The following is a 14252-nucleotide window of genomic DNA, read 5'->3' as shown; positions in this document are numbered from 1 at the left end:
GGCTGGTCTCACACTCCTGGACTCAAGTGATCTGCCTGCCTCAGCCTCCCAAAGTGCTGGGATTACAGGTGTGAACCACTGTGCTCAGCCTTTAAAAATAAATTTTAAAAAATATATATGGAATGCTTCATGAATTTGCGTGTCATCCTTGCACAGGGTCCATGCTAATCTCTGTATCATTCCAGTTGTAGCATATGTGCTGCCAAAGTGAGCACCAGATAATTTTGAAGTTGGTTGGTGTTTTGTTTTGTTTTGTTTTTACAACTTTAGATATTTAATTGCCCTGGAGTTTATTTTTGCCTATTCCTTTTCTGTCTTCTGATACTTCAGCGCCTCATTATGTGATTCTTCACCATCTTTGGGACTCTCTGCTTCTAATCTCCTCCCTCAGAGTCTTTTTCTTGAAGAGAATGGGAATATAAAAGGCCCCAGGCTTAGAATAGCTCTTCAAAGGCCTTATTTTTTTTTTGAGACAGAGTCTCGCTCTGTCACCAGGCTGGAGTGCAGTGGTGATCTTGGTTCACTGAAGGCCTTTAAAGAAGCAAGTGGGGGGGCCGGGCGCAGTGGCTTATGCCTGTAATCCCAGCACTTTGGGAGGCTGAGGCAGGTGGATTACGAGGTCAGGAGTTCAAGACCAGCCTGGCCAACATGGTGAAACCCCGTCTCTACTAAAAATACAAAAATTAGCCGGGCATGGTGGCATGCACCTGTAATCCCAGCTACTTGGGAGGCTGAGGCAGGAGAATTGCTTGAACCCGGGAGGTTGCAGTTAGCCAAGATCATGCCACTGTATTCCATCCTGGGTGACAGAGTGAGACTTTGTCTTAAAAACAAACAAACAAAAAACAGAAAAGTTTTTATCAGTGATTGCTTGCAATGGGCAATTAAGGTAGACACTGAACTAAATTTAGAATGTATTATTCACAAATATAGTCTAAGAATTTATACTCTGAAAATTAATAAAACAGATAAGCAAAGGACAAACCATATAACAATAAAAAAGAGCAATCTAGAACTACTGTATATAGTAAAGAATTAACATCAAACACATCAAAGTCGGTGCAATTCAAGGATAAAGGCATCACTGGGTGACAAGCAGTGCCTAGTATGTATTTGCTATAGGGGTTCCAAGTTCAGGGAAACTGTCATCAATCAACTAGGTAGGGTGGGTCTCTTCTGACTTCTCCCATCCTCTCCTTTTCCATCCTCCACACATGTGCCCCACTCCAAGCTTTTTCTCCTCCAAGCAACATAAGCCTCACTAACGCTTGAAATCAGAGGAGTTTTTACTTTGTGTTAGCACTTAGCTCTCAATAAGTGGACCTTTACCCAGCATCAGCAGGAACCACCCTCAGGAGTCACTTTGTGCTGCCTGGCACGTCCACAGCAATTAGAGCAAAAGGACAGAGTTAAGGAAACTCTTTGAGGAAAATTTTCCCCACCCAGCTTTGGCAGGGTCACCTGGGGGCCCTCTCATCAGTATTGATATTCACTGTGGTACCCCCGTTGTTCCACTAGCACCATTTACTGAGCTTCCTCTGTGTTCAGTTCCTATAAAAGAAAGGAAGCCCTTGCCTCAAAGTGCTCTCAATTTATTTATTTATTTTTACTATTTTTTAATTTTTGAGATGGAGTCTCACTCTGTCCCCCAGGCTGGAGTGCAATGGTGTGATCTCGGCTTACCACAACCTCCACCTCCCAGGTTCAAGAGATTCTCCTGCCTCAGCCTCCCTAGAAGCCGGGATTACAGGGGCCCGCCATCACGCCCAGCTAATTTTTGTATTTTTAGTAGAGATGGGGTTTCACCATGTTGGTCAGGCTGGTCTCCAACTCCTGACCTCAGGTGATCCCCCACCTCGGCCTCCCAAAGTGCTGGGATTACAGGCGTGAGCTACTGCACCCGGCTGTGCTCTCAATTTAAATGCATTTGCACATTCAGCAAGACTCATAAATGTCTTACCTAGCTGAATCAATATTAGAAAGGCCTCAAGGATTTTGCAGTTTGATATCACTGTCATAAAAATTGTTTCAATGTAGAAAAAAAGGTTAACATATTTCATATATATTCATTAAGAAATGTACATGGGCTGGATGCAGTGGCTCACACCTGTAATTCCAGCACTTTAGGAGGCCAGGGTGGGTGGATCACTTGAGGTAAGGAGTTTGAGACCACCCTGGGCAACATGGTGAAACCCCATCTCTACTAAAAATACAAAAGTTACCCAGGCGTGGTGGCATGTGCCTGTAATCCCAGCTACTCAGGGAGGCAGGAGAATTGCTTGAACCCAGGAGGCAGAGGTTGCAGTGAGCTGAGATCGCACCACTGCCCTCCAGCCTGGGTAAGAGTGAGACTCTCTCTCAAAAAACCAAAACGAAAAGTGGCCGGGCGCGGTGGCTCACGCCTGTAATCCCAGCACTTTGGGAGGCTGAGGCGGGCGGATCACGAGGTCAGGAGTTCGAGACCAGCCTGGCCAACATGGTGAAACCCCATCTCTACTAAAATAAAAAATATATAAAAATTAGTCGGGTGTGGTGGCCCACACCTGTAATCCCAGCTACTCAGGAGGCTGAGGCAGGAGAATCGCTTGAACCTAGGAGGTGGAGGTTGCAGTGAGCCAAGATTGCGCCACTGCACTCCAGCCTGGGTGACAGAGCTAGACTCTGTCTCAAAAAATAAGATAAATAAATTTAAAAAAAAAGCAAAAGTCACTGAGCGAGGTATTTAACCATCTCTTCTGAAATAGTCCTGATCTCCCTGCTCCATTTCCTGATTTTTAAATTTGTTTTTAATAAAATTTAATGATCTGTACTTATCGATGTATACTTATTGACTGGTTGTTATCTGTCTGCCCCACAGAATATACGTTTTCAGAGAACAGGAACTTTTTATGTCTTTATCATTGCTATATCCCACTGCCCAGAATCAGTGCCTGGAACATAGTAGATTATCTACAAATAGTGCACTTGTTAAATGAATGAAACTAAATTAAATGAACATATATGTTGTGTATCCTTACTGCATTGATTGGCATATGAGAAAATTAAACAGAAGAAACTAACAGCAAGATCAGTAGTGTCCTAGACTCCAAGAAGTCTTTCTAGACTAATCCTATTCAGCATTAGAAGTACAGTCATAGGCCGGGCGGGGTGGCTTTCGCCTGCACTTTGGGAGGCCAAGGTGGGCGGATCACCTGAGGTCAGGAGTTCGAGACCAGCCTGGCCAACATGGTGAAACCCTGTCTCTACCAAAAAAATACAAAAATTAGGCCCAGCACGGTGGCTCACGCCTGTCATCCCAGCACTTTGGGAGGCCAAGGTGGGTGGATCACGAGGTCAGAAGTTCGAGACCAGCCTGGCCAACATGGTGAAGCCCTGTCTCTCCTAAAAATACAAAAATTAGACAGGCGAGGTTGTGGGCACCTGTAATCCCAGCTTCTTGGGAGGCTGAGGCAGGAGAATCACTTGAAACCAGAAGGCAGAGGTTGCAGTGAGCCGAGATAGTGCCACTGCACTCCAGCCTGGGCGAAAGAGTGAAACTCTGTCTCAAAAAACAAAACAAAACAAAACAAATACAAAAATTAGCCAGGCGTGATGGCAGGCACCTGTAATCCCAGCTACTTGGGAGGCTGAGGCAGGAGAATTGCTTGAATCTGGGAGGTGGAGGTTGCAGTGAGCCTAGGTCGTGCCACTGCACTCCAGCCTGGGTGATAGAACGAGACTCTGTCTCAAATAAAAAAAAAAGCGCAATCATTCTGAATCTCTCACTCTACCCCTTGAGAAGACTCCGCCACCAACCTCTTTTTCAGTTCAGGTGACTCAAGCAGGGCTGACCCCACCCCCTGCCTCCAAGGATCAGCTTGTGTCCCAGGCACCCCATGGTCACTGTTTTTGGTTTGGGACTGGCTCATGACCCAAGCTAGGTAGCAGGCAGAGCTTTCTGTGTTAGTCTGGAAAGACTTCTTGGAGTCTAGGCTAGGACACTACTCATCTTTTTTGTTTTGTTTTGTTTTGTTTTTGTTTTTGTTTTGAGACAGAGTCTTGCTCTGTTGCCCAGGCTGGAGTGCAGTGGTGCAATCTCACTGCAACCTCTGCCTCCTGGGCCCATGTGTTCCTCCTGCCTCAGCCTCCTGAGTAAGTTTCCCTGGGACTTTTGCTGGAACTATAGGAAAAAGGACCAAGTCAGCCCAGTGCAGATGGTGGTCACTGTTCTATCATGCAGGGAAACCTGCCTGAGAACAAAACCACACTGATTCTAAAGCAGAGACTAGAGAGTGAGAAATAGAAAGAAAGAGACAGGGCCTGGTGCAGTGGCCCTAGCCTGTAATCCCAGAATTTTGGGATGTTGAGGCAGGAGGATCGCTTGAAACCAGAAGTGTGAGATCAGCCTGGGCAACAAAATGAGACCCTGTCCCTATTACAAAAAAAAAAAAAAAAAGAAGGAGGAGGGGTGGGGGAGGGAAAAAAGGAAACGGACAGGTGGACAGTGACTTGGTGATATCTGGGTCCCCAGCTTCAGTCCTGCCTACAGTGAGCTGTGTTGTTGGGTTTCCCAGTTTATGTGAGTGATTCAGCTCCTTTTGAGCACAAGCAGTTTGAATTGGGTTTCTGTCATTGACAATCACAAAACACAACAAAACAAAACCATACCTAATGCACATTTAGCTGTATAATTTCTACTACGTCGAATTTCACTTGTTTACTTAATATTATATACAGGTTTTTACCTAAGACTTATGAACATTTTTATAGTTTATAAAATAATCTTGTATTTACATATCACTTAATTTTAACACAATTATGTGAGGTAGGGCATACATTTTTTTTTATTTAGTAATTTTTTTTTTTTTGAAACACAGTCTCACTCTGCTACCCAGGCTGGAGTGCAGAGGTATAATCATAGCTCACTGCAACCTTGAATTCCTGGGCTCAAAGGATCCTCCTGCCTCAGCTTCCCAAAGTGCTCAGATTATAGGTGTGAGCCACTGAGCCTGGCTAATTTTTTTTTTTTAAGAGATGGGGTCTCAGGCCAGGCGCGGTGGCTCACGCCTATAATCCCAGCACTTTGGAAGGCCAAGGAGGGTGGATCACAAGGTCAGGAGTTTGAGACCAGCCTGGCCAATATGGTGAAATCCTATCTCTACTAAAAATACAAAAATTAGCCAGGCGTGGTGGTGCAAGACTGTAGTCCCAGCTACTCAGGAGGCTGAGGCAGGAGAATTGCTTGAACCCGGGAGATGGAGGTTGCAGTGAGCCGAGATTGCGCCACTGCACCCCAGCCTGGGTGACAGAGTGAGACTCTGTCTCAAAAAAAAAAAAAAGAGATGGGGTCTCACCCTGTCACCCAGGCTGGAGTGAAGTACACAATCATAGCACACTGCAGCCTTGAACTCCTGGGCTCAAGGGATCCTCCTGCCTCAGCCTCCAGAGTAGCTGGGACTACAGGAGCAGGCTACCATGCCTGGCTGATTTTTTTTTTTTTTTGAGATCCATCTCGCTCTGTCGCCCAGGCTGGAGTGCAGTGGTGTGATCTCGGCTCACTGCAACCTCCACCTCCTGGGTTCAAGCAATTTTCCTCCCTCAGCCTCCTGAGTAGCTGGGATTACAGTCTTGCACCACCATGCCTGGCTAAGTTTTATTTTTATTTATTTCTTTTTTGAGACAGGGTTTCACTCCCATTGCCCAGGCTGGAGTGCAGTGGTGTGATCTCAGCTCATTGCAACCTCTGCCTCCCGGGCTCAAGTGATTATCCTGCCTCAGCCTCCCCAGTAGCTGGGACTATAGGCATGTGCCACCGCTCCCAGCTAATTTTTGTATTTTTTTTAGAGATGAGGTCTTGCCATGTTGCCCACTTGGTCTCAAACTCCTGAGCTCAAGTGATCGGCCCACCTCAGCCTCCCAAAATGCTGGAATTACAGGTGTGAGCCACTGCGCCTGGCCTAATTTTTTATTTTTTGTAAAGATAGGATCTCATTATGTTGCCCTGGCTGGTTTTGAACTCCTGGGCTCAAGTGATCCTTCTGCCTTGGCCTCCCAAAGTGCTGAGATTATAGGTGAGAGCCACCGTGTCCAGCCAAGAAATATATTTTACAGTAACCCCGTACATACATACACACACACGCACACACTCTTAAAGTTGCACAAAACAATACCTACCTTAGTGCCTGTGACATTCTCTGATATTTTCTATTCTATTTTTTAAAAATTCTGGCTGGGCGCAGTGGCTCACGCCTGTCATGCCAGCACTTTGGGAGGCTGAGGCGGGCAGATCACAAGGTCAGGAGTTCGAGACCAGCCTGGCCAACATGGTGAAACCCCCCGACTCTACTAATAATACAAAAATTAGCTGGGTGTGGTGACGGATGCCTGTAATACCAGCTACTTGGGAGGCTGAGGCAGGAGAATTGCTTGAACCTGGGAGGCAGAGGTTGCAGTGAGCCAAGATTGCGCCACTGCATTTTAGCCTGGGTGACAGAGCAAGACTCTGTCTCAGAAAAAAAAAAAAAAAAAATTCTGTTTTATTTCAGCACTTTGGAAGGCCAAGGCAGGTGGATCCCTTGAGTCCTGAAGTTTGAAACCAGCCTGGGCAATATAGGGAGACCCTGTTTTCTTGCTGTGTCCAACTACCTAGAACAACCATTGAGTCAGGAGAAAGAATTATGGATCTCCTGCCCAGGGACCCAGATGAAAGGTCTCTTTGCTTCAGGGCTCTCTTAATAAAAAAAAGAAAAGAAAAAATATTCTGGTTGCAACCTACAGTTTTTTTTTTTTCGCTGGAATGAAGTGGTGCCATCTCAGCTCACTGCAACCTCTGCCTCCTGGGTTCAAGCAATTCTCCTGCCTGAGCCTCCCAAGTGGCTGGGACTACAGGCACCTACCACCACACCCAGCTAACTTTTGTATTTTTATTAGAAACAGGGTTTCACCATGTTGGCCAGGCTGGTCCCAAACTCCTGAGCTCAAGGGATCTTCCCGCCTTGGCCTCCCAAAGTGCTGGGATTACAGGCGTGAACCACTGTGCCTGGCCGCAATCCACAGTGGTTTTTTTTGTTTTTTTTTTTAATTTTTTTTTTCAGAGACAGGGTCTTGCTCTGTTGCCCAAGTTGGAGTGCATTTGCATGATCACAGTTCACTGCAGTCTTGAACTCCTGGAGTTTTCTGTTCTTCTGTGACTACCCTATGTTATTCTTGTCTCAATTTTTTAATGGAAGGGAATTGTTTAAGGTGTACAAGATGGAGGTCCCAATATGGTGTGGTGGTTGAGTCTTGGCTCGTGGGTCTAACAGATTTGTGTTCAAAGCCTGGCTTTGCCACTAACTAGCTGTGTCCTTAGGCAAATTATACTCCAAGTCTCAGATTCCTAATTTGCAAAATGAGAATAATAATAAATAATACTTCCTGCCCCATTAGTTTATTATGAGGATTGTTTTTTTGGTAGAGTCATGGTCTCGCTATGTTGCCCAGGCTGTTTTCAAACTCCTGGCCTCAAGTGATCTGCCTGCCTCGGCCTCCCAAAGTGCTGGGATTGCAGGCGTGAATTTTTGTGCCAGCCTACTACAAGGATTAATGCTTGTGAAGTGTTAAATATAGCGTTTGGTACACAATAAAAATTCAATTAAGGTTGTCAGTTACTCTTAAGTATAAATTGGGGACCAAGAAGGCAAAAATGGAGTGTGTTTTTTGCAGATGGACGGAGGGGAGCCAGGACACAGCTCAGCTTGCTCATGCTCAGAGAGTTAAGCTGCTGACCCTGAAGGCAGGGGGCACACAACTGTATGTGGGAGCCAGACTAAGCAGTCGAGACAGGGCAGACAGTGTGAGAAAGCTGTTGATGAGAGCTGCTGCTGAATAAAATCATCTTTCACCTGTCTACAGCTCCCCAAGTGTTCTTTCTGCTCATCCACCCACTACCTCCGGACCTCAACATGACCTTTGGCGTAGTCTAAACCTGACACTCATAACAGTTACAGATTTCTTTGTCCCTTCTACACTCCCACTTTTTTGAGACAGGGTCTTGCTCTGTCGCAGAGGCTGGAGTGCTCTGGTGTGATCACGACGCACTGCAGCCTTGACCTCCTAGCCTCAAATGATCCTCCCACCTCAGCCTCCCAAGAAGCTGGGATGTTCCACAGGCACGTTCCACTACACTCAGGTAATTTTAAAATTTTTTGTAGAGAGGGGGTCTCCTTATGTTGCCCAGGGTAAGAATTCCTAAACTCAAATAGGCTTTTTCCTGCCAAGACTTTAGTTCGTGGGTGATTTTACAGGTGCTTCTATTTTCCCTTCAAGTGGAACAAATTGGCCCCCAGTCCAATCTGCAGAGACAGCTTTGCCTTGGGGAAGTTACCTGATGTAGAACAAGGACAGGAGACAGGTCAAGTTGTAGTTATTTGACTTTCGTGATTAAGAGAGCCCTGAAGCAAAGAGACCTTTCATCTGGATCCCTGGGCAGGAGATCCATAATTCTTTCTCCTGACTCAATGGTTGTTCTAGGTAGGAACCAGAACCACTTGCTGGAAGCCTGCATTGACTTATTTGAATCGATTACTGCTTTTCTTTCTTTTCCATTCTAAGCTATTATGTTTTTATGGTACTAAGCAGATTTTCTTGAAAACTTCTAGAAAACTGCCTGCTACCTGCAAGAAACTGTTTTCTTCTCTCCTGTATTTTACGCCACCCCAATGCTTCTCCTATGCAGCTTTGTCGTCTAAGTTATTTCCCTGAGGCAAAATTTCCCCATTCTTTCAGCTCCCCTCCTCCCAGATTGAGAAATTCTAGGCTTGCCCTGGACTTCTGTCTTGTAGTCTCTGGGTTTTTTTCCTTTCTTTTTCTTTTCCATCAGGCACCAAGTCCGGAGTTTGCGTGGCTCTGATGTCTGCTCGTGGATCACTGATTGACCAGGCTGAAGCCAGAGGGTCCTTTAGATCCCGAGGGATAATAGAGCAGGCAGCATTTCCACCCACGTTCTGAGACTCCTCATAATTGCCTCAGTGCTGCACGTACCTATATGGAAAATACAAGTGCACTGTCAGGCTTGGGGTTAATGGTTTCACCTCACGTCTCAGAGGAGCAGAGTCCTAGTGCACCTGTGGAGCCTGAACCAGCTGCACTCCAAGAGGAGCAGAGAAGGGAAGCAATTTCTTACTCCACCCCTTTCAACCACTGGCACTCACAGGCTTGCCACCTACTCTTGCTCCTGCCAAATGGTACAGAGATGAAATCTTAGAATAAAATTTTTGAACTCAATAAATTGTTAATTAATATCTAGGAGTGGCAGATATATAATGCTTCTCTTTTCACGACAGGTCAAAGATGAAATCTGATTAGGCTTTGGAGGGCGTGGTTTGCCTCTTGAAATTCCTTGCTCGTCTTTAGAAAGCTGTGTTGCTTAGAGCACCCAAAAGTGCCCTTTATCTAACTGAGGGAGGCGCACTTGTCTTCATATATAGAGGCAGGAGCTGGCATTGGGAAAGTCAAACTAGTTCTGCACCATGAGGAAGAAGCAGCTGAAGACGGAGGCAGCTCCACACTGTGAACTAAGTAAGTAGCCCAGGGAAGCTGCCCAGCTGAGCAGACCTGAAAGGGTGACAAGTACAGCTCTAGCAATTTTATTTTCTAGTTATAATAGAAGTTGCCAAAGGAAAGGTTCCGATCTGGAGGAACTTCATCAAACCTTTCTGAAACTCCACAGATGTACTGTAGCGAGAATCTCAGAACTAATTTGTGCATTTTCTTTTTTCTCCAGGAGAAATTCTGTATGAAAACCAACCTGCTCCAGGAAGCCAAGCCCCCCCCCCCCACTTTTTTTTGGTCCCCGAGTTTGTTTTTACTTCGCACTTTATTTGGATTTTTCTCTTTGCAGTTCACGCTCCTTTCCTCATTTCTTGGTCTCTCTTACTAATGAAATTTTCTCCTAGCTGTTTTTACGTGAATAAAGAAGCTCAATTACCTTTAATGCTGTAAGCAGTGCGAGGGGTCGGGGAGTGAGGGTGGCGGGAGGATCTAATGTTTTTGGTGGCTGTAAACGACATTGCAGAAAATTACGGTAATTTGTTAGGCCATTTATTCCCTCTTCACCAGTTTGGCAGTCTCATCTTCAGAGCAAAAGATACGGTGTGAGGCTGAAACTGGCGATAGAGTGGGATTGCTTTTGGGTAGGTAGGATGAAGTCTGGGGAGAATCGAGTCAGCTGGGCGAGGAGGAAAACAATTCACTACGGAGGCTTGGGAGGACACCTAAGGCGGTCAAACTGGCTGCACTAGCTGATGTTTCTCGGTTCCTCCCAGGTGTGGGGTGCTCTTGGTGGGGCAGCAGATACTATGATGTGGCTCTGGGGGCGCGAGGAAATGTTCCTTCCAGGTGGCTATCCTTTTTTTTTGAGACAGGGTTTTGCTCTGCCACCCAGGCTGGAGTGCAGTGGCACGATCTTGTCTCACCGCAGCCTCCACCTCCCAGGCCCAAGTGATTCTCCCACCTCAGCCCCCGAGTAGCTGGGACCACAGGCGGGCGCCGTGATGCCTGGCTAATTTTTTTTTTTTTTTAGACGGAGTTTTCGCTCTTGTTTCCAAGGCTGGAGTGCAATGGCGCGATCTCGGCTCACTGCACCTCCGCCTCCCGGGTTCAAGCGATTCTCTTGCCTCAGCCTCCCGAGTAGCTGGGATTACAGGCATGCGCCACCACGCCCGGCTAATTTTGTATTTTTAGTAAAGACGGGGTTTCTCCATGTTGGTCAGGCTGGTCTCAAACTCCCGATCTCAGGTGATTCGCCCGCCTGGGCCCTCCAAAGTGCTGGGAGTACAGGCGTGAGCCACCGCGCCCGGCCTTTGCTTGGCTAATTTTAAAATTTTTTGTAGAGACCGGGTCTCACTATGTTGCCCAGGCTGGTATCGAACTCCTGGACTCAAGTGATCCTCCCGCCTCGGTCTCCCAAAGTGCTGGGCATTACAAGTGTGAGCCTCCGCGCCTGGCCTGGCTACCCTTTACAGGATAGAGCTATACCTCGTAGCTTGATTGTCAGTACCTAACGTGGCGCCACGGCGAACTAGGGCAGGAATCTTATCTGTCCCCAGACTGCTAGCGGACTGGAGCTCCCCAGTCCAGGGGCTGTGTGGGTCTGGCCAACGCAAGCAGCAACTAGGCAGCATGCAGCTCCCGCCGGGTGCCCCAGGGGCCGCCGCGTGCCCCAGGGGCCGCCGCATCCAGACTCCGCGTGGGCGGAGCCTAGGTCCCTGGTCTGCGGGCCACGCATCCCGGCCGCTGCAGGGACTCCAGCCAATAGGGATGTGCGGCTGCCGTCCTGTCGACCAATCGCGGGGAGGGGAGGGCGTTAGCCAGCGTGGCGCTGGCTCCCGGAATATGGAGCCCTGGGCGCGGGGGCGGCGTGTCAGGTGGTTGCGGAGCTGGTAAGGTGAGGGGAAGGCAAGGTCAGGGGTCACGGCATTCCGCTCGCTGGCAGGGAGGGGCGCGGGGCGGCTCGAGGGCCTGTGTCGGGGGTCAGGCTCCGGGGCTAGGATGCGACACCGGCTCGCCGTGCGGGGCTGTGAGGGGAGGTGTGGCCAGGGAGGGCCTCAGGCCCAGAGTCCAGGACTGATGGAGTCGCGCCATTCAGAGAAAGACCCAAAGATGGGGGCAGGGAGGGAACGCCGGAGGTCGCGGGGGTCTCGCCCCTTCCCCGCCGCGGCCTAGGACACATGGCCCAGCTCCCAGCTGCACCGGATGGCGCGCCCGGCCTGTGTCGGGGTGCGCTGACCTGCTTCGACGCCTCGAAAGAGGCCGACGGGCACAGGGCAAGGTCTTTCGTGGCCTCTTCGTCGGCGCCGCAGGGGGCCGGGCTGCTCTCCGGGGCCTCCCGCCGCCCCGCTTCAACAAAAGACTCATTATAACCTAACCGACTTCAGGGAGCGCCTTCTGTGTGAATAGCCTGCATACGCGGCTCAGTAATTGTGGGTAGATTGGTTTTAAGGCTGTTTGTGTAGCTCTCAGGGACCCTCTGGATTCCAGGCTCCAATGAGCAGGGTTTTTCTACAGGGGGATATTGCACATATGTAAGTGGGCTGGATGGCTCTCCCAGCTGTGCGTTTCATGTGTCCCCACTTTTAAAGCTACCGCTTAAATGTGACATCTCTTGCAAAAGCAAAAATTATATGGAAGGAGAGTTTGCAAGGGGAGATAGGCTTCTAAAAACTTGCTGGCCTCAATTTTAGTGACTGTTGGTGAAAAATGGAGAAGCTATGTTTACACTGACTTCTGGAACCCGAAGCCCCACCAGTTCGCATGATTTCTTGGCTTTGTAAATCTTTGAGCATGTTGTTTGCCTCTTTCTTCTTTTGTTCCACGTACTTAAAATGGGGATTGATAATATCAGTCTTACAGGGTTGTTGGTATGAAATTAGTTAATAAACAACAAAGTACTTAGAACTCTTGATGTGGAGGAGTTTTTGTTGTTGTTACCTTCTTTCCCCTTAACACTTCTAAAGAATTCTAACCTTATTACTTATTCTTTGCTCAGAGTCTCATGACTTATCACCAGTGAACCCGCCGGCCTATACTTTCCATTGACATCATTAACTTTGATCTGAGGGTATAGTGTAGTTATATGTGACTAGAGGATTTCTGCTGCGTGTTTGTTTTATTAAATACGGTTGGAAACTATCATTATACTAGGTCATTTATTGTGATACCTGTGTTGGGTAAATGAAACCTGAAACCTTCGGCTGTTTATTTTTTCATTGGACAGTATTTCATTGACAGTCTTGCTTGGCCTACTCAGTTTATTTTGGAGCCAGTACTAAAAAGGCCATGATTGCAGCATACTTGGTTTCTCATGTTTCCGGAATGGCAGTGGGACTCGGGAGGGGAATTTCTGGGTAGCCTGGCAGCACTTCTTGTTAAGGAATGGGGAAGCTTCTTATGAATCTAATCTTACTCTAATGTTAGGAAATCAGCAGTGGTCCCTTGGATTACTCTACAAAGCTAGTAGGCAGCTTTGGTTCAGTTATGACTCAGTGAAGGTTAGAGAATTATATCTACAAAGTAGGATCTTTTTCTTTCTTTCTTTCGTTTTTTGATACGGAGTTTCGCTCTTGTTGCCCAGGCTGGAATGTAATAGCGCGATCTCGGCTCACTGCAACCTCTGCCTCCCGGGTTCAAGCGATTCTCCTGCCTCAGCCTCTTGATGCCTGGCGAATTTTTTTTGTATTTTTAGTAGTGACGGGGTTTCACCATGTTGGCCAGGCTGGTCTGGAACTCCTGACCTCAAGTGATCCACCTGTATCGGCCTTCCGAAGTGCTGGGGTGGTGTGAGCCACCGCGCCCTGCCAGATCTTTCTTGTTTGACTTTCATTGCTAAGAATTTGGGTGAGTGTTGTTGAATCAAAGACATCTTTATTCTCTGCCTCCTCACCATGCACATACGTACAAATGTCTGCTGACAGATATCTGCCCTTCCTATGGCCTTAAAAAGCCTTCTCATATTCTCGTGGTGCTATCTGGGATACACCAGTGGAAGACTGCTTTGTCTTCTAATTCTTCCCTTCAAAGAAGCGGCTATTTATACACATAGCATTATTAGGAACTAGTCAGAAAATGAGAAACTTTAAGTTTATGAAAAAAAACATTGCTTACTTCAGCTGCATGCTGGCCAAATTTAGTTGAAGTGCAGTTGGTATAAGTTTAGTTGTTTAGTTTTGGAATAAGAGAGTTCAAGACTTCCCCTCCCACCCCCCACAAGACAAGGTCTGGCTCTGTAACCCAGGTTGGAGTGCAGTGGCATGATCACAGCTCACTGCAGGGTTGACCTCCCAGGCTCAAGTGATTCTCCTGCCACAGCCTCCCTAGTAGCTGGGAGTACAAGTGCATGCCACCACCCCTAATTTTTAAAAATTTTTTTGTGGAGATGGAGTCTTACTAGGTTGCCCAGGTTGTCTTGAGCCCCTGGGTGCCAGCCACCGTGCCCAACCAGTTTAATACTTCTTTAGGATTTAAAGTTGGAAGTTGGCCTGGTAAGAGTGAAGGACAATGTCTTTGTAATCTGTTTTTCCCTGAGAGGCATGGGAATGACACCTTTAAAGAACTGAGTGTGTTTGAGGCAGAAAGGGAAGTCTGCTGCCCTAATATTGTCATTATTATCATCTCTCTGAGGCTCTGTAGTTTGAGTAAAACATTCTGGGAAAAAAGGTAGGGGCATTTGAATGAGCGGAATATAATGAATTAGAAGATGCAGACCATGTCTCACTTACTTGCTGCCATTTATTCTT

At 47.3% G+C, this 14252-nt stretch overlaps 1 protein-coding gene and 1 pseudogene across 32 annotated transcripts in view, besides 5 other annotated features; one reads left to right on the top strand and one right to left on the bottom strand.

Annotated features, from left to right (window-relative positions):
- RNU6-1273P (RNA, U6 small nuclear 1273, pseudogene) lies at nt 112-215 on the bottom strand (annotated as a pseudogene).
- The window catches only part of SLC11A2 (solute carrier family 11 member 2), a 76624-nt gene continuing 71199 nt past the window's right edge, over nt 8828-14252 (top strand). For 12 of the 32 annotated variants that reach the window (XR_007063077.1, XR_007063078.1, NR_166669.1 and 9 more), the window contains exon 1: nt 11330-11399. Coding sequence is in view for 4 of the 32 variants with exons in the window: in XM_047428887.1 (XP_047284843.1) it covers nt 9489-9537 (49 nt within the window). In the remaining 28 variants the exon portion in view is untranslated. Of the gene's footprint in view, nt 9204-9302; nt 9538-11329; nt 12042-12939; nt 13354-14252 lie in introns of those variants that run through there. The other 20 variants (NR_166668.1, NR_166670.1, NR_183178.1 and 17 more) reach the window with 7 other exon arrangements.
- Nucleotides 10950-11669: a silencer, noted in NCBI's record as "silent region_4457". NCBI's record gives its function as "represses an Ori minimal core promoter by ATAC-STARR-seq in GM12878 lymphoblastoid cells {active_cell/tissue: GM12878}" and the evidence as "EXISTENCE:reporter gene assay evidence [ECO:0000049][PMID:35858748]".
- Nucleotides 10950-11756: a biological region, named in NCBI's record as "H3K27ac hESC enhancer GRCh37_chr12:51419741-51420352".
- Nucleotides 11145-11756: an enhancer, noted in NCBI's record as "H3K27ac hESC enhancer chr12:51419741-51420352 (GRCh37/hg19 assembly coordinates)". NCBI's record gives its function as "activates a minimal SCP1, AML or CMV promoter by ChIP-STARR-seq in primed H9 embryonic stem cells {active_cell/tissue: H9 hESC(primed)}" and the evidence as "EXISTENCE:reporter gene assay evidence [ECO:0000049][PMID:30033119]".
- Nucleotides 11680-11739: a silencer, noted in NCBI's record as "silent region_4456". NCBI's record gives its function as "represses an Ori minimal core promoter by ATAC-STARR-seq in GM12878 lymphoblastoid cells {active_cell/tissue: GM12878}" and the evidence as "EXISTENCE:reporter gene assay evidence [ECO:0000049][PMID:35858748]".
- Nucleotides 11757-12370: an enhancer, noted in NCBI's record as "H3K27ac hESC enhancer chr12:51419127-51419740 (GRCh37/hg19 assembly coordinates)". NCBI's record gives its function as "activates a minimal SCP1, AML or CMV promoter by ChIP-STARR-seq in primed H9 embryonic stem cells {active_cell/tissue: H9 hESC(primed)}" and the evidence as "EXISTENCE:reporter gene assay evidence [ECO:0000049][PMID:30033119]".

The sequence above is a fragment of the Homo sapiens genome, chromosome 12 (assembly GCF_000001405.40).
Source record: "Homo sapiens chromosome 12, GRCh38.p14 Primary Assembly".
NCBI lineage: Eukaryota > Metazoa > Chordata > Mammalia > Primates > Hominidae > Homo > Homo sapiens.
Note: the sequence above shows the minus strand (reverse complement) of the source record. Positions and strands in the feature narration are given on the sequence as shown.